The following is a 27,185-nucleotide window of genomic DNA, read 5'->3' as shown; positions in this document are numbered from 1 at the left end:
ATTTTTTTCTTTTTTACATTGTGTTTTTGATGCTATATCTAAAAACTTATCACCATTTTCTCCTGTGTGAGAAGGGATATCCTAACCTTATTACTGATCTTAGGGGAAAGTTTTCAGTTTCTCACCATTATGTATGATGTTAATTGTAGGTTTTATATAGCTGTACCTTATCAAGTTCAGGAAGTTCCCCTTCTCTTCCTAATTTGCTGGGAGTTTTTATCATGAATGTGCAATGAATTTCGTCAAGTACTTTTTCTGTGTCTATTGATGTATTTTTCTTTTTTAGCTTGTTGATGTGATGGATTACATTAATTGGATCCTGAATGTTGAACCAGCTTTGCATACCTTGAAAAAACGCCATTTGATTATGTTGTATAATTCTTTTTATACATTGGTGGATTCTATTTGCTAATATTTTGTTGAGGATTTTTGCATTTTTTTTTTTTTTTTTTGAGACGGAGTCTTGCTCTGTTGCCCAGGCTGGAATGCTGTGGCCTGATCTCGGCTCACTGCAAGCCCGGCCTCCTGGGTTCACGCCATTCTCCTGCCTCAGCGTCCCGAGTAGCTGGGACTACAGGTGCCCGCCACCACGCCCGGCTAATTTTTTTGTATTTTTTTTAGTAGAGACGGGGTTTCACTATGTTAGCTGGGATGGTCTCGGTCTCCTGACTTCAAGATCTGCCGGCCTCGGCCTCCCAAAGTGCTGGGATTACAGGCGTGAGCCACCGCGCCCGGCCAATTTTTGCATTACTTTCATGTGAGATATTGTTCTGTAATTTTCCTTTCTTATAATGTCTTCATCTGGTTTTGGAGTTAGGGTAATGCTAGCCTAATAAAATGAGTTGGAAAGTATTTTCTCTTCACCTATTTTCTGAAATAGATTGTATAAAAATGATATTTTTACCTTTAGTATTTGGTAGAATTCACCAGTGAAAGCATGATGCTTTCTATTTTGGAAGGTTATTAATTATTGACTCAGCTTCTTTAATAGATATAGGCCAATTCAGATTATCCATTTTTCCTTGAGTGAGTTTTGGTAGTTTGTGCCTTTTAAGGAATTGTTCCATTTCAATCTAAGTTATACATTTTGTGGGCAGAAGGCCGGGTGCGGTGGCTCACGCCTGTAATCCCAGCACTTTGGGAAGCTGAGGTGGGCAGATCACCTGAGGTCGGGAGTTCAAGACCAGCCTGACCAACATGATCAAGACCAACATGACCAACATGAGTTCAAGACCAGCCTGACCAACAGACGGAGAAACTCCGTCTGTACTAAAAATTCAAAATCAGCCGGGCGTTGTGGTTCATGCCTGTAATCCCAGCTATTCGGGAGGCTGAGGCAGGAGAATCGCTTGAACCTGGGAGGCAGAGGTTGTGGGGAGCCAAGATCGTGTCATTGTACTCCAGCCTGGGCAAAAAGAGTGAAACTCTATCTCAAAAAAAAAAAAAAAATTTGTGGGCAGAGTCTTTAACATTATTTCTTTTCTTTTTTTTTCTTTTTTATTATACTTTAAGTTATAGGGCACATGTGCACAACGTGCAGTTTTGTTACATATGTATACATGTGCCAAGTTGGTGTGCTGCACCCATTAACTCATCATTTACATTAGGTATATCTCCTAATACTATCCCTCCCCCCTCCCCCCACCCCACAACAGGCCCCAGTGTATGATGTTCCCCTTCCTGTGTCCAAGTGTTTTCATTGTTCAGTTCCCACCTATGAGTGAGAACATGTGGTGTTTGGTTTTTTCTCCTTGTGATAGTTTGCTGTGAATGATGGTTTCCAGCTTCATCCATGTCCCTACAAAGGACATGAATTCTCTTAGGTCCATGGAATCAGTAGTGATGACACTTCTTCCATTTCTCATACTGGCAATTTTAAATGTTCTTTCTTTTTTTCTTGGTTAGCCTGGCTAAAAATTATGAATTTCACTGATATTTTCAAAGAACTAACTTTTGATTTTATTAATTTTCTCTAATGATGTTTTGTTTTTGATGTCATTGATTTCAAACTTTTCTTTTTTTCTGCTTGCTTTAGGTTTATGTTTATTTTCTTTCTCTAGTGTCCTAAGGTGGAAGCTTATATTACTGATTTTAGATCTTTCTTCTTTTCCAATATATGTGTTCAATGTTAAAATTTTTCTCTAAGAACTGTTTTTGCTGTGCCACACAAATTTTGATAAGTTGTATTTTCCTTTTCATTTAGTTCAAAATATTTCAAAATTTCATTTGAGACTTCTTCTTTGACCTATTTGTTATTTATAAATGTTTTGTTTAATCTCAAATATTTTGGGATTGTCCAACTATCTTTCTTTTATTTAATTCTAATTTAATTCCTTTGTGTTCTGAGACTGTATATGATTTCTATTCTTTTAAATTTTTCAAATGTGTTTTATGACCCAGAATATAGTCTATCTTGGTGAATGTGCCATGTGAGCTTGAGAAAAATGTTTATTTGTTGATAATCGATTAACTATTTTATAAGAATTTTTTTTTATTTTTATTTTATTTTTTTGAGACGGAGTCTCGCTCTGTCGCCCAGGCTGGAGTGCAGTGGCACGATCTCGGCTCACTACAAGCTCTGCCTCCTGGGTTCACGCCATTCTTCTGCCTCAGCCTCCCGAGTAGCTGGGACTACAGGCGCCCGCCACCATGCCTGGCTATTTTTTTTTTTGTATTTTTAGTAGAGACGGGGTTTCACCATATTAGCCAGGATGGTTTGGATCTCCTGACCTCGTGATCTGCCCACCTCGGCCTCCCAAAGTGCTGGGATTACAGGCTTGAGCCACTGTGCCCCGCCTATAAGTGTTATTTAGATCCAGTTGATTGCTGGTGATATTCAAGTGTATCTTTTGCCAGGTGTGGTGGTTTACCCTGTAATCCCAGCACTTTGGGAGGCCGAGACAGGCGGATCACCTGAGGTCAGGAGTTCAAGACCAGTCTGGTCAACATAGCAAAACCCCATCTCTACTAAAAAATACAAAAATTAGCCGGGTGTGGTGGTGGGTGCCCTTAGTCCCAGCTACTTGGGAGGCTGAGGCAGGAGAATCGCTTGAACCTGGAAGGTGGAGACAGCAGTGAGCCCAGATTGCGCCATCACACTCCAGCCTGGGCAACCAAGAGTGAAACTCTGTCTCAAAACAACAACAACAACTGCAACAAACCTATATCTTTACTGATTTTCTGTCTGTTGATCTGTTAATTACTGATATAGAGGAGTGTTAAGTCTCCATCTGTAATAATGGACTTGTGCTTTCAACTCTATCAGTGGGCTTTACATATTTTGTAGTCTTGTTTTTTGCACCATAAGCATTTAAGATTATTATGTCTTCTTGGAGAATTGACCCATTTTTCATATGTAATGCCCCTCTTTATCTCGGATAATTTTCTTTGCTCTGAAGCCTGCTTCACCTGTAATTAAATATAGCTACTCCAGCTTCTTTGATTAGTGTGTAGATAGTATATCTTTCTCCATTTCTTTAATTTTATTGTATTTGTATCTTTATATTGAAAGCAGACAACATTGTTTTAAAATGTAGGTTTTGTTCTTATTGAGGTATGGCAAAACCAACAGATCAGGAGATGATTGCCATTGCAAAGATAGCTTATTATTATACTCACAGATCTCAGAAGGAGGCATTTCATGCCATGAACTACATATGTAAGTATCAGAGTTGGTCAGAAGGCAGAGAGAGTGATGGGGAAAACATGGGCAAGAGCCTTTATTGTGGTTACTAGGGAAAGGAATGGTGAGGCAAGGTAGGCAAGTTTAGGATTGGCTAGTCTGAGTAATTTCAGTGGGTTCTGGGGTTTAGCAGATATTCCTACTTGTCTGGTAGCTGGCCCTGGGTAATTAGGGCAAGGGAAACTAGTGACTGAGTGGGAAAGCTTTGTTAAGGAGGCAGTTGGGTTATGGTCTCTGGTTGATTGGTTTGCATATGGAAGGTATGCTATCAGGTGAATCCTTTACTATCTTTAGGAATTGGCTAATGCTAGTGGGGGCAGTTCCTCCAGGGTTAGCAAGGCCCTAGGATATCAAAGCATTAAGTGCAAAAAGAATTGATATCTTTACTGTGTTAAGTCTTTCAATCTGTGAACATGGAATGTCTCTCCATTTATTTAGATCTCATTTATTTAGATCTTTGAACTTTTTTAATTTTTATTTTTATTTACATATTTATTTTGAGACAGAGTCTTGCTCTGCCACCCAGGCTGGAGTACAGTGGCATGATCTTGGCTCAATGCAATCTCTGCCTCCTCCCGGGTTCAAGCCATTCTCCTGCCTCAGCTCCCGAATAGCTGGGATTACAGGTGCACACCACCAAGCCTGGCTAATTTTTGTATTCTTAATAGTGACGGGGTTTCACCATGCTGGCCAGGCTGGTCTCGAACTCCTGATCTCAGGTGATCTGCCTGCCTCCGCCTCCCAGTGCTGGGATTACAGGTGTGAGCCACTGCACCCGGCCAAGATCTTCTTCAACCTTTTAAAATCAGCATTTTGTAGTTTTCAGCATTCAAGCCCTGTACATGTTTTGATAGATTTACACCTAAGTTTTTTTTTAAGCAATTGTATATAGTATTTTGTTTGTTTTGTTTTGAGATAGGGTCTTGGTGTGTCACTCAGGCTGGAATGCAGCAGCACAATCATGGCTCACTGCAACCTCAACCTCCCAGGCTCAAGCAATTCTCCCACCTCAGCCTCCCAAGTAGCTGGGACTACAGGTGTTTACCACCAGACTCAGCTAATTTAAAAATTTTTGTAGACATGAGGTCTCACTATGTTGCCCAGACTGTTCTCAAACTCCTGAGGTCAACTAATCCTCCTGCCTTGGCCTTACAAAGTGCTGGGGTTACAGGCATGAGCAACTGCTCCCAGACAGTATTGTGTTTTTAATTTGGTGTCCACCTGTTTATTGGTAGTATTTAGAAATACAGTAGATTCTTCTATGTTTTTCTTGTATGTGGTGACCTTGCTGAATACACACATCAGTTCTAAGAGTATTTTTGTGTTCCTTGGGATTTTCAACATACACAATCATGTCAACTGCATTTAGGGACAGTATCATTTTTTTTCTATCTGATCTACATGCCTTTTATTTCCTTTTTTTGGCTTTATTGCTCTGCTAGAACTTCTATCACTATATTGAGTAAGAGTGGTGACAGCAGACATTCTTGCCTTTGTTCTTGATTGTAAGAAACAATTCAGTCTTTCTGCATGAGGTATAATGTTACCAGTAGTTTTTTTGTAGATGATTTTTATCAAGTTGAGGGACATCCTTGTCTTAGTCAGTTTGGGCTGCTGCAACAAAGTACCCTAGGCCTGGGGGTTTATAAATAACAGAAATTTATTTTTCATGGTTTAGAGGCTAGAAGTTCGAGATCAGAGTGCCAGAATGGTTGGGTTCTGGTGTGGGACACTTGTTGGAAATTTGTTTAACATAGTTGCTGCCTTGGCATTCACTGTTAGGTCTGACATAAGTTGTTTGAAACTGTGTTGTACCCCCATCACCTTTAGCCTGGTTAAAACTTCCCTTTGCTATGTGGTTGTGTGCCATAGAGCCCACTTGTTCCTCATCTCACAGGCCTAAAACTCAATATACCCTACAGCTGCTGACCATGATAAAACCTAATGGTCAACACTAGAATCATGTAAGTTCCCTGACTCAGCCGTGTTTTCTTTAAGCTCGTCAATCCATAAACCTGTGGGAAAGCCCAAGGGGTAATGCCCATGAGGCATAGTTCTGCATGTCTTCTCTCTTTCTCACGCCCTTCCTGGTGATTGAATTCTTTGCCTCCTCTGTGCTTCTCATCAGCTTCTTGTTAGGAGAATAATAACCAATAATTTCTCTGAGACCTGTGAGTAATACGTTTTTGCTGTTTTGTGCATTTTGGTTTCACTTCCTCATGGTGTCTCACCTAACCAACACACCTGAATTTACCATTCCTCCTGGTCAGGGCCCTTCTAGAGAGTAGCTATCTTGGCTTTAGCTACTTGACTGAGAGAGCTCAAGACCAAATTAGAAAGAAGTTATAACAATAAAAATCATAACAGCCCTCTTCCATGTTGCAGATTGCTAACTTCTTGTATCCTTACATGGCAGACACAGAGCAAAAGAGCTCTCTGGAGGTATCTTTTTCAGGACACTAATCTCATTCATGAGGGCTCCACTCTCATGAGTTAATTATCTGCCAAAGGTCCTACCTCCTAATCACCATTACATTGGGGGTTAGAATTTCAACACATGAGTTTATAGGGACACAATCATTCTGTCCGTAACACCCTGCTTGTTTCTATTTTTCTGAGAGATTTTTTTTTTAATAAATGGTTGATTTGTCAAGTGATTTTTCTGCATTGATTGATATGATCATGTGATTTTTTTTCATTGGCCTAAACGTATGGATTACTTTGATTGATTTTTTAATATTGAAGAACTCTTTTATCCTAGAATAAACTTCAATTGGTCATTGTGTATAATAATTCTTTTTATATATTGCTGAATTCTGTGTTGTAATATTTTGCTAAGGATTTTTATGTTGATGTTGATGAGAGATATTGATTTGTAGCTTTCTTTTTTGCACTTTGTTTCACTTTATTATAATAGTTTCATAAAATGAATGAGCAAGTATTCTTTCCTTTTCTATTTTTGGAAAAGGTTATGTAGAATTAGTGACAATTCTTCTTTAAGTTTCTGGTTGAATTCTTTAGTGAAACCATCCATGCTTGGTGATTTTTTGTGGGTGAGTTTTTTAAATTACACATTTAATTTTCTTAATATTCAAATTATATTATTAATAGCATAATATAATTTTTAATAGTTGTTTTTAAGTAATTGGTTTATTTTATCTAAGTTGTGAGATTTATGTTATGTAGAGTTGTTTGTTATTATCACTTTGACGTCTGTAGGATCTGTAGTAACTACTATTTTACTCCTGATTTTGATAATTTATTTTTTCTCTCTTTTTGTCTTTGTCAGTCTGCTGGAAGATTGTCAATTTTGTTAATCTTGTCAAGGAAGAAATTCTTTATATCACTGACTTGTTTCTAACTTCATTTACTTCTCTTCTATTTTCTTCCTTCTCATTGCTTTAAGTTTATTTTGCTCTTTTTTCTCTTCTATATTCTCAATTTGGGAACTTAGATTATTGACTTGACTTTCCTTCTTTTCTAATGTATACATTTAATGCTGTAAATTTTCCTCTCAGTGCTGCTTTATCTGTATCCCACAAATTTTGATATGTTGTGTTTTGTTTTCATTATTAAATACATTTTTTATTTCCCTTGAGACTTCCTCTTTGACACAGATTATTTACAGCATTTTGTTTTTTTAAGATTCTAAGTGTTTGGAGATCTTCCTGTTGTCTTTCCATTATTGATTTCTAGCTTGATTCCACTGTAATTGGAGAAGACACTATGATTTCTCTTCTTTTAACACACTATGATTTCTCTTCTTTTAAATTTGTCAAGGTTTGTTGTATGGCCTGGGATGTGTATTCTGCTGTTATTAGGTGGAATATTATATAAATATTAGTTACATCTTTTTAGTTGATGATGTTGTTGAGTTCATATATACCCTTGCTGATTTTCTGTCTCTTTATTCCATCAAAATTTTATATAACCATTATTTCTCTTTTCAATTCTAATAATTTTTACTTTACATATTTTATAGCCTTGTTTTTTTGCATAAACATTAATTATTGCTATGTCTTCTTGGTACAATCATGACATAATGTTGCTATATATCCCTGGTAATTTTCTTTGTTCTGAAGTCAACTTTATATGATATTGATATAGCCCCTCCTGCTTTCTTTTGGTTAATGTTTGCCTGCTATATCTTTTTTTATTTGTTTACTTTCAACCTATCTACATTGTATATTTGAAATAAATTTATTGTAGACATCATATGTTTGAGTCATGTTTTTTAATCCAATTTTTTTTGTCAGTCTTTATCTCTAAATTGGTATATGTAGACCATTTGTATTTAATTTTTTATTCGCATGTTAGCCCTTAAGTCTGCTGTTCTTTTCTGCTTATTCTATCTTATCTATCTTATATTTCACTCTTATCTTCTTCCTGCTTTCTTGCTGCTTTTCCAAACATTTTTTTTACCATTCTGCTTTAATTTACCTGTAGTGTTTTGAGTTTATGTGCAGCTTTTTTATTATTTAATTTACATATTCCATTATGCATACACAATAGTCCATAGATGTTGACATTTTACCAGTTCAAGTAAAGCGTAGAAACCTTACCTCCCTTTAGATTCCACCCCCATTTATATTTGCCTTAAATATTTTTTCTAAGTATTTAGAAAGATATTTAGATATATAAACATTTAATATTTAGACATTTAAAACTATATCAGACAATGTAATAATTTTTGCTTTAACTGTCAATCGTAATGAAGAAAACTCAAAAGAATAAGAAGTATATTCTATTTATCTTTATTTTCTCTCTTCCCATTGTTCTTTTTTCCTTTCAGATGTTCTAAAATTCCTTTCTCATTTTCTTCCTGTTTAGAGAACTGCCTTTAGCCATTCTTTAGGGAAGACTTTTTTTTTTTGAGACAAATTCTTAGTATTCCTTCATCTGAGAATACTACATCTTAATTTCCTCTTTATTCCTATAGGATAATTCACTGGGTATAGAATTATTCCCATAGGAAAATTCACTGGGTATAGAATTCTGCATTGACCATTCTTTCCACTCAGAACCCAGAGAATGTGTGCCACTTTTTTCTGGCCTCTAGGGTTTCTAATGAGAAATCTGCTGCTATTCAAAGTATTTTCCCCCTAAAGATAAGGTGTCATTTCTCTCTTGCTGCTTTCTAGATTTTTTTTTTTTTTTTTTGGTCTTCTGTTTTTAGAAATTTTAGTATGGTGTGTCTTGGTGTGCATTTCTTTGAGTTTATCATCATTGTGATTTATTCATTTCTTGAATATGTTTGCTATTGTCCTTTGCCAAATTTTGGAAGTTTTCAGCTATTATTTCTTTAAGTACTTTTTCAGGCTCACCCCGTTCCTCCAATCCTCGGATGATAATGATATGAATGGTACATATGTTGTTATGGTTGCAGAGGTTTTTGAGAGTCTTCATTTTTTTCAGACTTTTCTGTCTGTTTTAAAGATTGGGTTATTTCCATTGTTCTCTCTTCCAGTTTACTGATTTATTTTTCTTCCATTCTGCTGTTGAGCCCATCCATTGAGTTTTAAATTTTAGTTATGTTTTTCACTCCTAAAATTTCCATTTGGTTTTTCTTTTCATTTGCTAAGACTTTCTATTCATTAGCTAAGACTTTCTATTCCTTTGATGATACTTTCTATTTTTTCATTTGTTTCAAGTGTGTTCATAAATACTTGTTGAATGATTTTTATGATGTTTGCTTTAAACTCTTTGTCAGATAATTCTAACATTGATGTTGGTGTATAGGGGCTTTTTTCCATTCAAGTTAACATTTTCGTGGTTCTTGGTATTATGAGTGACTTTCAATTGAAACCTGGACATTTGGGGTATTGTAAGAGTCTGGATCTTTTCTAAACTTCCATTTTAGCAGGCTTTGTTTGACACTGTTCTGGCAGGGGAAAGTGGGAGTCACTGCCTGATTATTTCCAGGCGGGAGTAGAAGTCTATATTTGCCACTTGACCTCCAATGACATCAGGGGAAGTTGTGTCTTCATTACCATGGGGCAGTGATAGGAGCTCTGGTTTCCATTGACAACACCATGGCTAGGAGATATAAGAATGCTTCATTAGTGCTACACATGTGGCCTACACTGACACAACAGAGTGGAGGTTGTTCTCATTACTGCTGGGGAGTGATAAAAGTTTTGACTCTTCACCAGTCCAACTCTGACTACTCCAGTGGGAAGAGGGAGGTATACTTTGTTACTACTGGATAGGTTGGAATTCCAGGATCCCCAGCTGGTCTCCACTGACACTGTAGGAAGGGGACCACTATCATTATGTTTGGTAGGGATGAAAGTCCTGCCTGCCTGCTGGGCCTTCTCTGACACCATACACAGTGAAAGGTCAGGGATTTGGGACACCTTGTTACAGCCTAGTGAGGGTGTAAGACTAGGCTCCCTCTAGGCCTTCGTCACATGGGTGGGGCTACAATTTTTTCTGTGCTTGGCTGGAGTAGAATGGCTGCCATCTAAAAGCTTTCTTTCTTTCAAGGCTATGCTTTTCCTGGTCATTTGGCTAAAGAGAGGAGGCTTCTTTTGGGGATTTTTTTCTTGCCTGTGCCCATCAGTGTTCCCAGGTTGCTGACTTCTTCAGCTCCATATCTGGAATATATATATATACCCATTCCTTCTCTTCACCTTTCAAAGACTGCTTATGTTTGTTGTTTTCTAAAATTTCCAGTGTTTTTAGTTGAATTTAGCAGGAAGAATAGGGAAAAGTGTGCTCCCTCTATCTATAAAGATAAAGAAGCAAGAGTTTCCTTCATTCTGTTTTTAAAATAAGAGTTTACTAAGTAGTGCAGTAGGCAGAACAATAGTCCCAGAAATTTGTGCACACCCCAATCCCTGGAACCTGTGAATGTGTTACCTAACATGGCAAAAGAGATTTTCCAGATGTGATTACAATGGGGATTTTCAGATGGAGAGATTATCCTGGATAATCTTATTGGGCCCAGTCTAATCACATGGGGTACTAAAAAGTAAAAGATCTTTTCCAGCTGTGGTCTGGGAGAGAGACGTGATGACAGAAGAAGGTCAGCGGGAATGCAATCAATGTTGCTGTCTTTGAAGATGAAGGAAAGGTTGTGGTGGCCCCCAGAAACTGAAAAAATCAAGGAAACAAATTCTCCTTTAAAACCTTCAGAAAGGAACAAAGCCCTATCAACTTCTTGGTTTTAGCTCAGTGACATCTGTTAGGCCTCTAATCTACTGAACTGTAAGATAAATTTGCATTGTTTTAAGCCACTGTGATTTGTTACAGCAGCAAGAGAAAACTTAATACAATAGTATAGTATTTCTGTATAGCAATAATCAAATCAGACCTTTTTCTGAAGGCTGATCATCTTATTTCAACTTGAATTTTAAAAGAATAAAGACAAAAATTACCTCTGGAGGTTATCATTGCCTATCTTCTGAAAAATAGTACAGTTTTTGATGGTTAAGAATTCCAAAATGAGATATGTGCATCTTTCATGTGCTTGGTACGTAAGATATTCAATAAATGTCTATTAAAGTTGTTGGAAACTGGAGGAAAATAAATACAAATGATGAAATGTCATTTTTAAAATCTTTAGAATGTATGAACCATCCATTTGAATATTTTATCATTGTATCATGTTTGTATTTTGTAGATAGTGAAACTAGTTCTCTAATGGACATAGAAAATGTAATTCTGGCAAAAATCCATGAAGATGAGGAAGACCACTCAGATGCAATATTAAAATCTGACAAATTTCATCAGGACTTATTTTTTATGGAACGGGTTCTGATGGAAAATATATTTCAGCCCAAACTTGCAGCTTATCGTCAGCTTCCTGTTTTAAAAGGTATTTAAAAAAAATAAACATGTTTAGGCTGGGTGCAGTTGCTTATGCTTATAATCCCAGTACTTTGGGAGGCTGAGGAAGAGGATTGCTTGGGCCCAGGAGTTCAAGGTTGTAGCAAGCTATGATCATGCCACTGCACTCCAGCCTGGGTGACAGAGCAAGACCTTGTCTCTTAAAAAAAGAAAAAGAAGATATCATGTTTAGACAAACTCAAATAATTTTTAAAATGTAAGGGTTTTAGTATATATTTCTAAATGTAATCTCCAGATTGAGTTATCATTATCAGAGGACATGTTTCTAAAGCTTTCAGCACTAAATGCGTGAGTAGCACTAGAGTCCAGACTAGGATGCCCACAGAAGCAGATTGTCTTAGATTCAAAACTTCCTAAGCATCTATAGCTCTTTCTTCTCCCTTATTCCTGCATTCAATTACTTAGTCATTTTTATAGTATCTCTCATATTCAACCTCTTCTTTTCCATTGTCATTGTTACTTTCTAAGTTCTTACTTTTATTACTACTCCCAAATCTATTGCAGAAGCATTCTTCCTGTTCTCATTGCTACAAATCGCATCTCATATGATCACAGAATATTTTAAAGGATTTTAGAGATTATCTTAATCAACCTTTAATCATGTATTAAAAAATACATGAATGAAGAAACTGAAGGCTATAGAAACTTTGTGAGGTTAATAGTAAGTGGAAAAGCTAGGCATTCAACCAAGGTCTTTTGATCTCAAGTTCCAGTTCTCTTTCTACTTTATCAGCCCACTTTGCTGATGTATCCTAAACCACTCAAAAAACCTTCAATGCCTTCACATTGCCTAGAATAAATTACAAAGCTCAAAGTGTATCATTCAAAAGATATCTGCAATATGGCCACAGATTACTTTGTATTATCATATTGCTTTGGAGACTCTAAAAGTTAGCTATATTTAGACTTATCTGGTAATCCTCAAATAGAACCTACATTTTCCTGCCTTAGTACTTTTAGTTGGAATTTGCTTGACAGTCTACCCTTATCCCCACCCCATGTTTGCCTATTGTATTTCCAGCTTTCAAAGATGGATTAAGGAAACTTCCTTTATGAAATTTATCTTGATTCTTCAAGTCAAAATTAATCTATATGGTTACATTTAAAAAGAAAAAGTTTACAGAATAGTATGTGTGACAAATGGTTGTAAATCTTTTTGCCTGCATGCATCTAGAAGAATATTGAAAAACTGTGTTCCTTCTCTCATATTAGGTTGATATTTAAAGATTTTTATCACTTATATATATAGATTTTTCATCCTATATTTAAAGAGTTGTAAGGTTGCAATTCACATAGTACTGTATATATTGACATTTACAAAACAAAATGTAAATGTAACAATGTAAATGTTACTGTTGGCACATCACTTCTTTCAACACATCTAAGAAATAAAAATACCATAGCAAATGTTTTATTGAGGTAAGATTTATATACAATGAAATATATATTTTAAATTGTATATAAAAATACATTTTGAAAATGTATAAACCAGAGTTACCAATACCCTAATCAAGACAGAGGACATATCTATTAACCCTAAGAGTTACCTTGTGCTGTTTTCCAAGTAAACCTTAACCCCACCCCCCAACCCCCACCACACACACACACACACGCATTGCTCTGATTTCTGTCAATATAGATTAACTTTCCCTATTCTGGTATGTCATATAAGTGGGTTCATAAAGTAAGTATTCTTTTGAGTCTGGCTTCTTGCATTCAATATTAATGTTTTTGAGATTTCCTAGGTTGATGCATGTATAAGTAGTTCATTTTTTTCCTAGTAATGCTCTAGTAGATGAATATACCATAATGATTTGTTTGTCCATTCACACACTGAGGGACACTTGCATATTTTCAGTCTGGGGATATTAAGAGTAAAGCTGGTACAAACATTTTTGTGTGAGACTTTTGGTAAATGGATATTTTAATTTTTCTTGTGAAAATACCTACAAATGGGATTATTGGATTATTGGGAATATGTTTAACTTTTTAAGAAACAGTGAAATACTTTTCCAAAGTGGTTATACCATCTTATACTCCCACAACAATGTATAAGAGTCTCAGTTGCTCCACATTCTTTATAACACCTGATGCTGGCAATCCTTTTAGTGTTGTTCTAAAAACTGAGTTCTTGTTTATGTGGTTTATTTTGGTCACTTGAATATCTTCTGTTTACTGTTTGGTCAAGTCTCTTACCAATTTTAAAATTGAGTTGCCTTTTTTTTTTTTTTTTTAATTTTTCTTTTTTTTTTTTTTTTTTTGAGATGGAGTTTCGCTCTGTCACCCAGGCTGGAGTGCAAAGGCACGATCTTGGCTCACTGCAACCTCCACCTCCTGGGTTCCAGTGATTCCTGCCTCAGCCTCCCAAGTAGCTGGGATTACAGGCGCCCACCACCACACCCGGCTAATTTTTGTAGTTTAGTAGAGACCGGGTTTCACCGTGTTGGTCAGGCTGGTCTCGAACTCTTGACCTCAGGTGATCCGCCCTCCTCAGCCTCCCAGAGTGCTGGGATTACAGGGCATGAGCCACCGTGCCCAGCCTGAATTGTCTTTTAAAAAATCAAGTTGTAAGAGCTTATTTTTATATATTCTGGATACAAACCCTTTGTCAGTTACATATTTTGCAAATATTTAAATCTATGGCTTGCCAATTTATTTTCTTAAAATTTTTTTGATGAACAGAAGTTTTTTATTTTTGCGAAATCTAATCTGCCAATTTTTTTCTTTTGTAATTAATTCTTTCCATGAGCTCTCTAACAAATCTTTGCCTGCCCCAAGTTTGCAAATTTGTACTTCTCAGTTTTCTTATAGAAGCTGTATAGTTTTAGCCTTTATGTTTAGGTCTACTATCTATATTGGATTATTTATTTATTTATTTATTCATTTTTTGAGACAGAGTCTTACTCTCTGTCCCAGACTGGAGTGCAATGGCTCTATCTCAGCTCACCACAACCTCCGCCTCCCGGGCTCAAGGGATTCTCCCACCTCAGCCTCCCTAGTAGCTGGGATTATAGGTGCACGCCACTACTACCTGGCTAATTTTTGTATTGTTAGTAGAGACGGGGTTTTGCCATTGTTGGCCAGGCTAGTCTTGAACTCCTGACCTCAAATGATCCACCCGCCTCAGCCTCCCAAAGTGCTGGGATTACAGGTGTGAGCCACTGCGCCCAGGCCTATTTTTATTTTTAATATATTTATTGTGTATATTTAAGGTATACAACATGATGTTTTAAGATAAATATATATAGTAAAAAGATCATTATAGTGAAGCACGTTAACATATCTATCATGTTATTTATTTTGAATTAATTTTTTTTATGAATGGACTAAGGTAAGGTTTAAAGTTTTTTTTTTTTTTTTTTTTTTTGAATCTCCAGTTGTTTCAGCACCATTTTAAATAAGAGTTGTTCCCACTCTGGGATTATAGACATGAGCCACTGTTCCTGGCTCCTTTTCTAGTTTCTTAAAATGGAAAATTGGATCATTGATTTCACATTTTTTTCTTGTCTAATATAGGTATTTAATATTTCAAGACTTAGTATAAAGCTATCGTGGTCAAGACAGCATGCTATTGGCAAGAGAATAAACAAATATATAGAATAGAACAGAATAGAGAGCCTAGTAATAGATCTGCCAAAATATAGTCAGCTGATCTTTGACAAAAGAAGAAAGGCAATAGAAAAAAGATAGTCTTTCAACAAATGGTACTAAATACGAACCTAGACACAGACTTTACACCTGTCACAAAAATTAACTCAAATGGATCATAGACCTGAATGTAAAATGCAAAACTATAAAACTCCTAGAAGATAACATAGGAGAAACACTAGATGACCTTGGATCTTACAATGACTTTTAAAATACAACACCAAATGCATGATCCATTGAGAGACATAATTGATAAGCTGGGCCTCATTAAGATTAAAAACTTCTGCTCTGCAAAAGACACTGTCAAGAGAATAAGAAGACAAGTCACATACTGAAGATAATATTTTCAAAAGACATTTCTGATACATTACTATTATCCAAAATATACAAAGAACTCTTAAAACCCAACAATAAGAAAATAAACAACATGATTAAAATGGGCAAAAGACCTGAAGAGATACCTCACTGAAGAAAATATACACATGCCAAAGTAGCATACAAAAAGATACTCAACATCATATTATTATATTCTCTTCTTCTTGTTCTTCTTCATCCTCCTCCTCCTCCTCCTCCTCCCCCCCACCCCCCACCTTTTTTTTTTTTTGAGACAGAGTCTTGCTTTGTCACCCAGGCTGGAGTACAGTGGCACAATCACGGCTCATTGTAGCCTCAGCTTCCCTGGCTCAAGCGATCCTCCTGCCTCAGCCTCCCGGGTAGCTAAGACCACAGGCGTGCACCACCACACCCAGCTAATTTTTTAAAATGTTCTGTAGAGATGAGGTCTCGCTTTGTTGCCCAGGCTGGTCTTAAACTCCTGAACTCAAGCTACCCTCCCACCTTGGCCTCCCAAAGTGCTGGGATTACAGGTGTGAGCCACTACACCTGACCTTTCAATATCAGATTTCATTAGGGAATTGCAAATTAAAACAACAATGAGGTAGCACTACACACTTAATTAGAATGGGCAAATCCAAAACACTGACAGCACTCAAAGCTGGTGGAGATGTGGAGCAACAAGAAGTCTTATTCATGCTGATGGGAATGCACAATGGTATATCCACTTTGGAAGATTGTTTGGCAGTTTCTTATAAAGCTAAACATACTCTTGTCTGGGTGTGGTAGCTCACACCTGTAATCCCAGCACTTTGGGAGGCTGAGGTGGGCAGGCCACTTGAGGAAAGGAGTTCAAGACAAGCCTGGCCAACATAGTGAAACCCTGGCTCTACTTACTAAAAATACAAAAAATTTAGCCGAGTATGGTGGCAGGCGCCTGTAGTCCCAGCTACTTATTAGGCTGAAGCATGAGAATTGCTTGAACCCAGGAGGCAGAGGTTGCAGTGAGTCGAGATGGTGCCGCTGCACTCCAACCAGGACAACAGAGTGAGACTCTGTCTTCAAAAACAAAACAAAACAAACAAACAAAAAAACCCAAACATACTCTTACCGTATGATTTAGTAATCACTCCTGTTGATTAACTAAATGAGCTGAAAACTGTGTCCACACCAAACCTGCACATGGGTATTTATAGCAGTTTTACTCATAATTGCCCCAACTTGGAAGCAACCAAGATGCCCTTCAGTAGGTGAATGGATAAATGAACTATGATACATCCAGACAATGGAATATTATTCATCACTAAGTTATCAAGCCAGAAGCAGACCTGGAGGAAATTTGAATGCCTATTACTCTGCAAATGAAGCCAATTTGAAAGGCCACATACTGTGTGATTCCGACTATATAACGTTTTGGGAAAAGGCAAAATATGGAGACAGTAAAATAGTCAGTAGTTTCCAGGGACGAGGGACCAGAGAGGGATGAACAGGAAGAACACAGAAGATTTTTAGGTCAGTGAAACTATTCCATATGGTACTACAATGGCAGATACATGTCATTATACACGTTTGTCAAAGCTTATAGAATATACAATACTGTGCGTGAACCCTAAAATTTAAAATGTAAAACTATGGACTTTGAATGATAATGATAGTAAACCAGAAGCCGTAGCACATTCTTGGAGGGACTTCAGAGATTACTGCCACTGTCAAGGACTTGAAATATGGAGGGATGTTGATACCCACCACATTTCTCATTCAACTCACATATGTGGCATATGTAGAAAAGAGATGGATCTTGGCCAAGTGCAGTGGCTCATGTCTGTAATCACAGCACTTTGGGAGGCTGAGACATGAGGATTGCTTAGGCCAGGAGTTCAAGACCAGCCTGGGAAATAGAGTAAGACCCCCGCCCCCATCTCTAAAAAATAAAAATAAATAAATTTAAAAACAGATGGATCTTGGAGAATGACAGTGGATTATTATTATAAACTTAACCAGTTGGTGACTCCAATTGCAACTGTTGTTCCGTAAGACATTCATTAAGGAAATTAAGACATCTCTCTTGTACCTGGTGCATAGCTATTGACAAGGCAAATGCTTTTTTTTCCAGCAATGTCTATTGGTAAAAAACAACCAGAAGCCATTTACTTTTAGCTGGTCAGGCCAGCAATATACCTTCACTGTCTTACTTCAGGGGTATATCAATTCTTTAGCCCTGTATCATAATTTAGTCTGCAGAGCTCTTTCCCTTCAACAAGATAACACACTAGCACATTAAATGGATGATATGCTGGTTGAACTTAGTAAACAGGAAGTAGGCTTCAGTAAGACATTTTCCTGTCAGAGTGTGGGAAGTAAATCTGACAAAATTTCAGGGGCTTCTACCTCAGTGAAGTTTCTGGGTGTCCTGTGTGTGTGGTGTGGGATATGTTGAGCTGTATCTTCTAAGGTGAAGGATAAGTTGTACCTGGCACCTTTTACAACAGAAAAGAAGCACAATGCCTAGTGAGTCTCTTTACATTTTAGAGACCACACATTTGTCATTTGGATGTGCTACACTGGCCCATTTACTGAGTAAACAGAAAAGCTGCTGGCTTTGAGTTGGAACCCAGAACAGCAGAAGACTCTGCCACAGGTCCAGGCTGCCCTTCATGGTGCCCTGCCACTTGCACCATATGATCCAGCAGATCTGATGGTGCTTGAAGTGTCAGTGGTGGGTAGATATGCTGTTTGGAGCCTTTGGCAGGTCCCTATAGATGTAGAGGACAATGATCTTTTTATTTGTTTAAACTTTAGAACCTGAACCTGAAGAGCCTGAAGATGTTTTAGAAAGTGCAAAACATGAAGAGGTAGAGGAAGAATCTAAGAAGGAGGAGGAAGAAGAAATACATGCAGAAGAATCAACAATACCCGCCAACTTGGAACGACTTTGGTCTTTTTCCTGTGACTTAACCAAAGGCCTCAATGTGAGCAGCCTTGCCTGGAATAAAACAAATCCAGTAAGTTATCAAACATTTGAACAATTCTGTTTCTAGCATTGAAGGGAAATTATCAAGTTCGAATAATGAAGAATTGTTTTCCTTAGATATGGCACAAGGAATTTAAATTGACCATAACTTTGAGTTTTAGAATGCCCCTAAAACAAGTTCCAGTTTAAAAAGGGGGAAATGCAAATAGTTACAAAATAATGTTTTTCCCCTTTAATATAGTAAACATTTAATATGTAAAACATTACCATTTTTATTTTAGGGGATATACTTGAGACATGGCATTCTCTGAATTCATGTTAGATATGAATAAGTAAACTATACGATTGGTATATTTATTCAACGTATACCAAAACTGATGAGCCCAAATTTATATTAGCTTCAAAGTAGTCATATTTGGAAGTGTATACTTAATCTAGTGACCTTACAAGTGTGCAAAATAATTTTGAGATTCTTTAAAATACTGTTACCACCGATATTAGCAAGAGCTTAAACAGCACTTAGTATATAGCAGGCACTATTGTGTTTTAACCGTACTAACACAACAACCCTATGAATTAGGTACTATTATTTTTCTCATTATGTTGAAAGGAAACTGAAGCACAAAAAGCATAAATAATTTGCCCAAAGTCACACAACTGGTAGGTGAAACAGCCAGAATTCAAATGCAAACATCTGGCTCCATAGTTCTTGCTCTTAACTACTGCACTGACAAAAGTCATCTTGAGGCAAATAAGATGAATTGTCAAGTTGGAGAATTATATGTTTGGTTGTAAAAAAGAGATAATTATAGAGTAATTAGACTAATTTTCTTCTGGGGTTTATAAACTGGTTCTGAAGATATTTCCCAGTTAACAATTCCAACAATTTTTCAGGCAATGGCAGTATCTTTGATATAAATATTTATATTGTTGAAGCAGTCAAAACCAATTTATTTAAATTATATTATATTTTGTATGTTTAAGAATTAGCCTTATTATTTTATTGCCACACCTTATCAGGTGCTATGTGCAAACAAGACAGTTGTCATAGTTATTAAAAAACAGAAAGTCTATAATCATTTCCATTGAAACCTAAATAACACATTATTTTAATTATGTGTATTATTTTGTAACGAAGTAAAGTACTTTTATAATGAATTTATCTTTATAAAACTATATTTGGGACTGTCTTGTGGATTAGTGGAATTAATTTTAATTAATTAATTTTTTGGGGAGATGGGGGTCTTGTTTTGTTGCCAAGGCTGGTCTTGGACTCCTGGTTTCTAGTGATCCTCCCGCCTTGGCCTCCCAAAGTGCTGGGATTACAGGTGTGAGCTACCATTCCTGTCCTGTAAATAGGATTTAATAGATCTGTAATAAAGATATATGAAACATTTTTAGAAACTGAATATACTAGCATTTTAAAAATTAATGCATTGCTATGGAGATTAAATTAAATAATTTTGAATGAGCCTAAATACAAACATATTACAGATGGAGTCTATGTTTATTAATTCATTGTATAAATATTTGTTGAACGTTAACTCTGTGCCTGGCACACTGTTAAGGCGCTAGAGATACAGTAATAATGAAGTTATACATAGACCCTGCCTATATAATAATTTCAAATGTGCTATGATGAGGAAAATAAACAGTGCTGTGGGGACACATACAAGAAGCTCTTGAATGTTTCTTAGAGAAAGTAATGCCTCTGCAGCGTCTAGAAGAGATAAATAGGGATATGTCAATGTCAGGGTGAAAGGATATAGTAGTGAAGACTGTTTTTAAGACAGAGGGAATTATGGAGAGATTACGTTGGCCTGAAAGTAAGGTGGTGATAAGAAAATATAATATTCTAAAATTAAAGGTATTCTGGTTACACAGCAGAGGCTGGATTTGTTCAGTTATTAAGCTTTTGCCTATTTGTATTTACATATGCATTTCTTGAAATGACCTCCTGTATTAGGTAGCTCATGCTGCCGTAACAATATATTATAGACTGGGTGTCTTAAAGAACAGCAATTTATTTTCTCATAAATCTGGAGGCTGGAAAGTCTAAGATCCAAGGGCTGCTGATTCAGTTTCAGTGAGAGCTCTCTTCCTGGTTTGCAGTGGCTGCCTTTTCACTGTGTCCTCACATGGCAGAGAGAGACCTCTGGTGTGTTTTTCTCTTTTTATAAAGTCACCAGTCCTGTCACATTAGGACCCCATCCTTATAATCTTATTTAACCTGCGATTCCTTCTAAAACCCCTATCTCCACATACAATCATATTGGAGGTTAGGCCTTCAACATATAAATTTTAAGGGGACACAATTCAGTCTATGGCAGCTACCTTTAACTTAAGTGTCCTTTATTTTACATTTGAAATAATTAAGTCATCCTCAAAAACTCAGAATATATTATAACCTATTAATACAATCTCAGAAGACTACCTCAATATGTAAAAGAACTTGTTAGCAATTGGTTATTTTTAGGTGCTTATCTTTCAGCCTGCAAATGAGAAGCATTATACTCATTAACTTTTTTGCTTAGGAATATGGAGGTATAGAGTAAAAACAGATGGTGTACTGGCATTTTTTCCTCTCAGATGAAATGTCTTACTACTATTTTTAACACAGCTCATTAATATATATCTTTATACATTTACCAATATTTTAATGCTATCTTCTCTTATTTTTAAATGTATTTTTCTGGTTTTCAGGATCTTTTGGCTGTTGGCTATGGGCACTTTGGATTTAAAGAGCAAAAAAGAGGACTGGCTTGCTGCTGGTCAATAAAGAATCCCATGGTAACCCAAACAAGAATAAGAAGCATTTTTATCTGGCTGTTGACAAAATTCTCATAAAATATATAATTACATGTAATAATTAAATAAAGTCTAGAAAATTTTATCAATCAAGACTATTTTCTTTGGTTTAACTTCATAGCAATTAAAATTTGTTCTTGTTGACATAGGGTAAAGATAATTCATTTATTAATTCATTCAGTAAATATTTATTGAATGTGTACTATATGCTGTTATATATGATGATGAAGAGTTGAACCATTATTGATTTTCACAGCTAATTATAAAGAAAAAATGAATCTTAAATGAAAATCCTTTGAAAATTATGTTTTTTTTTTTTTTTTTTTTGAGACAGAGTCTTACATTGTCGCCCAGGCTGGAGTGCAGTGGCGCAATCTCGACTCACTGCAAACTCTGCCTCCCGGGGTTTAAGTGATTCTCCTGCCTCAGCCTCCCGAGTAGCTGGGACTACAGGTGCACACCACCATACCCAGCTAATTTTCGTATTTTTAATAGAGACGGGGTTTCACAATGTTGGCCAGGATGGTCTCGATCTCTTGACCTCATGATCCAGCCGCCTTGGCTTCCCAAAGTGCTGGGATTACGGGCGTGAGCCACCGGCACCCAGCTGAAAATTATGTTTTTTAAATACCTGGTTGTTTCTTAATATATGAATACCTCCTTATCACCTGACTGTTATTCTGAACAGATATGAAATAGATTTATCTGACCTTCTTACTGTCATACATTTTTCAAAGAGAATGAATATAAAGAATCATAGTAGTAATTTTGCTAAAGAGCCCTAGTCAATCTGTTACTTTAAAGTTTTACATTTAGTTTAAATTCACAACTGAAATGCAAAGTGGAAAACTTAGAGAAGGGTCAGAAGAGCATATAAAAATGACTAAAATTTTTATAAATAGCTCTAGTCTGTAATAGCTGTAACAGTGTTTGAATAAACTTAGCGATATGTCATATAGATCTGGGTTTATATAGCACAAAAGAAAAGAAGAAGCAATTTTAAATGTGGAGGGATTGACATTGGATTCATCATCAGTAGTCTGTCTTCTTTTTTATGTAGGTGGTTAAAAGCAGGAAAGGATTTAAATTAGACATTCAAACAAAACAAACTCTTCATGGGGTTGTAGAACACAGTAACTTGGGGAGTTTTGGAACTTTTTCTGTTCATTCTTTAGATAATCCAAGCATCTGAAACAAATACTAGAAGACAGGAATTATATGCTAGATGATTAGTTTTTTGTTCCCATAAGAAGGTAGACAGGTGATGGTGATACTAATCCTGCTGAAAGATTACCAAAATATAATTATTGTAGAAGGCTGTGCTGTACTTCCCTTCCTACTTTCCTCCCTTCCTTCCCTCTTTCCTTCTTTCTTTCTTTCTTTCTTTCTTTCTTTCTTTCTTTCTTTCTTTCTTTCTTTCTTTCTTTCTTTCTTTCTCTCTCTCTCTTTCTTTCTTTCTCTCTCTCTCTCTCTCTCTCTCTCTCTTTCTTTCTTTCTTTCTTTCTTTCTTTCTTTCTTTCTTTCTTTCTTTCTTTCTTTCTTTCTTTCTTTTCTTTCTTTCTTTCTGAGATGAGGGTCTTGTTATGTTGCCCAGGCTGGTCCCAAACTGCTGGTCTCAAGTGATCCTCCCACCTCAGCCTCCCTAGTAGCTAGGATTCCAGGAGTGAGCCCCCATGCCCAACACTCTATTTCTTAAAGCCATTGAGTGCTGAAGATTCATACTTGTATCAAAGGAAATGACCAAGTGAGGTTTTATTATTTTCTATACTGGAAATTAGGAAGACAGAAGTAACTGAATGTGGGCTAACTCTGCTCACATACCCACTGCCACCAAACTAAATCTCAGCCACCATTATATTCTGCCTTACTGTGGTCTACAAAAACAAATTGAAAATGTAATTTTTTAAAATTTAGTGGCCAGAACGTATTTATCAGAGTCCATATGGAGTTACTGCTGTGGATTTTTCAATTGGAGCACCTAACCTTTTAGCCGTTGGCTATCACAATGGCACAATTGCAATTTACAATGTACGGAGCAACAGTAATGTTCCAGTTCTGGATAGTAGGTAAGAATCCGAGAATTAGATAAATGTATAATACATGCTTTTTCAGGAGGATTTACTCTAATGTTATTTAGTTTTGAGTAAATATTTTTGTTGTTACTGAGAGTGATACCATTATTTTTGAAACATTTCATAATCCCTCATATTGTCTCTCCAGCTGGAATGGTCTGTCCTAATAGCTCCTTCAACTTCTTCTCTGCCCATCTCACTAACGAACTTCCTCTGACTTGACAGTTTATGCTTATTCTTAAACTATTGCTTTGGGTTTCACTTCTTCCAGAAAATGTTCCCATTCCTTTCTTTTGTGCAACCTATACATACCTTTATCATAGTGCTTATCACATTGTATATAAAAATTATTTATGTGTATATATGTAAATCTATCTTATCTATCTATCTATCTATCTATCTATCTATCTATCTATCTATCTATCTGTCTAAGGAGGGTATAAGTTCCTTGAGAGCAAGGATTGAATCTTACATACCTTTCTGTCATCAGCATGTCATATAACATGGGACATGTAACAGGAGTCCAGTAAGTGTTTGATGAGTAATTGATGAATAAATGAGTCATATGAGGAAAGCCAAAAAGTTAGAGGTGAAAGATATTAAAAAGGCTAGGTTTTTGTAATAGACAAGATACCAATGGGGCATGTTTGTAAAAGTGTTTGAATAAACTTAGCTAGAACTAGAAATAACCATTAAAGCAGAGGTTCCTAAACTTAACTTTCAAATTATTTGCAGTTTTGTAAGCATAGGCCTTTGTGCTTGTTTCTGGGAAGAGGGTCCATAATTTTCACCAAAAAATCAAAGATATGTATGATTTTAAAAATGTTCAGAATTGATTTCATTGGAGGGTTTGTATTAAAAATCAAGGTAGTCAGTACCACGAAAAGAACATCACATTAATCTGATAGGAAAAGAGTCAGTAATCTGAGAAGTGAGTTTAATTTTTCAGAAAAATTTTAACTCTAATCCATAGAGAGAGTCAAACCAATGGGCAATCTTGAAGCATAGGAGGAAGAGTGAAATATAGAAAGAAGAATTGTTTACCTGGATAAGATTTAAATGATTAACAACTTAATTCATAGAAACATCATAAAGATGAAAATACTTATATTCCATGTGTCTAAAATAAAGTAAAAGTCAGAAAGAATTAATGAATAGAGTAAGAAAAGTAGATTCTGAAAAGAAAGAACATTTTTGCTTTTGTATTCCTGTTATGATAGCTAATATAGTTAAAGACCAGTACAATTTTTCTTTTGTAAGAAGTACAAAAAATAACAGTGAGTATTAAGTAGAAAAGTGGTTGTCTTTTCTTTTTTAAAAATATTTAAAATAAAAGTCTATTTTTGAACAATAAAAGGATTATATAAATAGGTCATGATCTTCTAGAAAGCTGACCTTATCACTTATACTCCAAGGCCTTTAAGAAATTATTATAATGATTATATGTTTAGTATTTTTTTTACTGTTTTAGTGAATCACCTCAAAAACATTTGGGACCTGTATGGCAACTACAGTGGATAGAACAAGATCGAGGAACAACAGGAGATGGCAAAAGAGAAATACTAGTTTCTATATCAGCAGATGGAAGAATCTCCAAATGGGTTATACGAAAAGGACTAGACTGTTATGGTAAAAGAAAAATCAAGTTATATTTTTCTTGTTACGTGCTGAATTAAAATTTTCTAGTTAACCATGTGTGAAAGATGACAAATTTTGGTTTGGCCAATAAGAAAAAAATTGGGTTGGTCATGGTTTTTCTAAGCAGCTAGTTCTGGTGTGTGCTAATTTTAGCCTAATTACATGCAAAAGTTGGCAGAACTAATATTATTATTTGCAGGAGAAACACACATGATATTTGCGGTACTCTTTCATGTGGTAAATAACAAGTTATATATGTTTTTCTTTAAATACAGATTTGATGCGATTAAAGAGAACTACAGCTGCCAGTAACAAAAAAGGAGGGGAAAAGGAAAAGAAAGATGAAGCTTTGATATCTCGACAGGCTCCTGGAATGTGTTTTGCTTTTCATCCCAAGGTAAATTATTTCACTCTTATTTACCACTGGACATAACAATTTCCAAAAATTGAAGTGTATTAAGTCATAAAACAAGACCAAATATTAGCCTGTTAATGAATACTGTGCCTAATATATTAGAGACAGAAAGTAGATAAATGATTGCCTGGGCTAGGGGATGCAGGTGGAAGAATAGGTGAGGAGGGAGGGAAAAATAGGGAATGACTTACTAATGATAATAGAGTTTTTTGGGGGATGATGAAACTGTTCTAAAATTGATTGTGGTGATGATTGCACAACTCTATGAACAAACTAGAAACTATTGGATTATATACTTGACATGTGTGAATTATATGATATGTGAATTATATTCCAATAAAGCTTTTTTTTAAAATTGTGCTTTGTAAGTGAAAAAATGACAGATTTAGCTGCTAACCTAAGGTGGAATGGTACATTCTAGTTGGCTATACTATGATCTTTATCTGCTTTTGCAGATAGATAGATGAGAGGTATATATTTCTGAGTAACTATGGAAAAATTCTCTTTACAACTTTGTGCTTAACTCAAGTGCCTCTCCCTGCCCCCCTTGGCCACTCTGCTGCTCTATCATACTTACAGAAACCTAATCCACTTGTATATAGTCTTCTACATTTCAATTCACGTGGTGACTCTCAGGATTTGGGGATTAGAAAGACTACTTAATTTCATGTTTACCAAGCATCAAATCAGAGCACAGTTAATGAAGTCCTCCTTTTTCTTTTATCTGGAGATACTTTGTTTTTTATTTTTAATTTTTATGAGTACACAGAAGGTATATATATTTATGGGGTACATGTGATGTTTTGATACAGGCATGCAATGAGTAATAATCACATCATAGAATATGGGGTATCCATCCCTTCAAGCATTTATCCTTTGTGTTACAAACAATCCAATTATACTCTTTTAGTTCTCTTAAAGTGTACAATTAAATTATTATTGACTATAGTCACTCTGTTGTGCTATAAAATACTAGATATTATTCATTCATTCTATTTCTTTGTACCCATTAACCATCCCCACCACTGCCCTACCCCCAACTACCTTTCCCAGCCTCTGGTAACCATCCTTGTACTCTCTATCAGTCTGGAGATACTTTGGAATCAGAATATTCAGCCACTATGATAGGCTTTTTCAGAACATGTGTTCCATGTTTTCTGTTACATGTAATATGATCATCTCTTTGGTGACACCATCATCTACCTCATTATGCAAACCAAAACTTGAGCTCCTCTATTCTACCCTATCATCTAAATGATACTTAAAATTTGATTGTCCCATCCCTTCCAGCCCAAGCCTGCTATTGCTAATGTAGTTCAGATCTGTCTTATTTTTTACTTTTACTACTACAGCCATCTTCTAACTTCCTTCATTCTCAAATTCCTTTAATTCACCTTAACTTTGACTCTAGTTCTCAATGTGGGCAGGGAGGGGAGAATTTTCCCGTTAGGGAACATTTGGCAATGATTGGAGATATTTGTGGCTGTTGCAGCTGTCAGGAATTGAGGTGAGGGTGGGGAAGGGCTACCAGTATCTCTGGGAAGATGCCAGAGATGTTGCTAAATATCCTTCAATGTACAGGCAGCCACCACCCTCCCAGTGCACATCAGTCCCCAGCAGAGAATTATCTGGCCCAAAATGTCAATAATGCTTGGTTGAGACAACCTAGTCTAGTGTCCTGAGGTGTCCTTTGCATAAGGAATTCAAGATGATCATATGGTCTGTAAATAAAAACAGTTTTACTTCTTTCTTTCTAACCTGCTTGCC

General features: G+C 36.1%; 1 protein-coding gene across 13 annotated transcripts in view; it reads left to right on the top strand.

Moving 5' to 3' along the window:
• Window positions 1-27,185, top strand: part of DNAI4 (dynein axonemal intermediate chain 4) — a 111,972-nt gene that overhangs the window by 65,872 nt on the left and 18,915 nt on the right. For 5 of the 13 annotated variants that reach the window (XM_011542162.3, NM_024763.5, XM_047430749.1 and 2 more), the window contains 6 exons: window positions 11,307-11,501; window positions 18,314-18,516; window positions 21,189-21,275; window positions 23,208-23,359; window positions 24,837-24,994; window positions 25,279-25,400. In XM_011542162.3, the coding sequence (XP_011540464.1) occupies window positions 11,307-11,501; window positions 18,314-18,516; window positions 21,189-21,275; window positions 23,208-23,359; window positions 24,837-24,994; window positions 25,279-25,400 (917 nt within the window). Of the gene's footprint in view, window positions 1-11,306; window positions 11,502-18,313; window positions 18,517-21,188; window positions 21,383-23,207; window positions 23,360-24,836; window positions 24,995-25,278; window positions 25,401-27,185 lie in introns of those variants that run through there. The other 8 variants (XM_017002353.2, XM_005271212.4, XM_047430731.1 and 5 more) reach the window with 5 other exon arrangements.

The sequence above is a fragment of the Homo sapiens genome, chromosome 1 (assembly GCF_000001405.40).
Source record: "Homo sapiens chromosome 1, GRCh38.p14 Primary Assembly".
Classification (NCBI taxonomy): Eukaryota; Metazoa; Chordata; class Mammalia; order Primates; family Hominidae; genus Homo; species Homo sapiens.
This window is presented reverse-complemented; position numbering and strand designations above follow the sequence as displayed.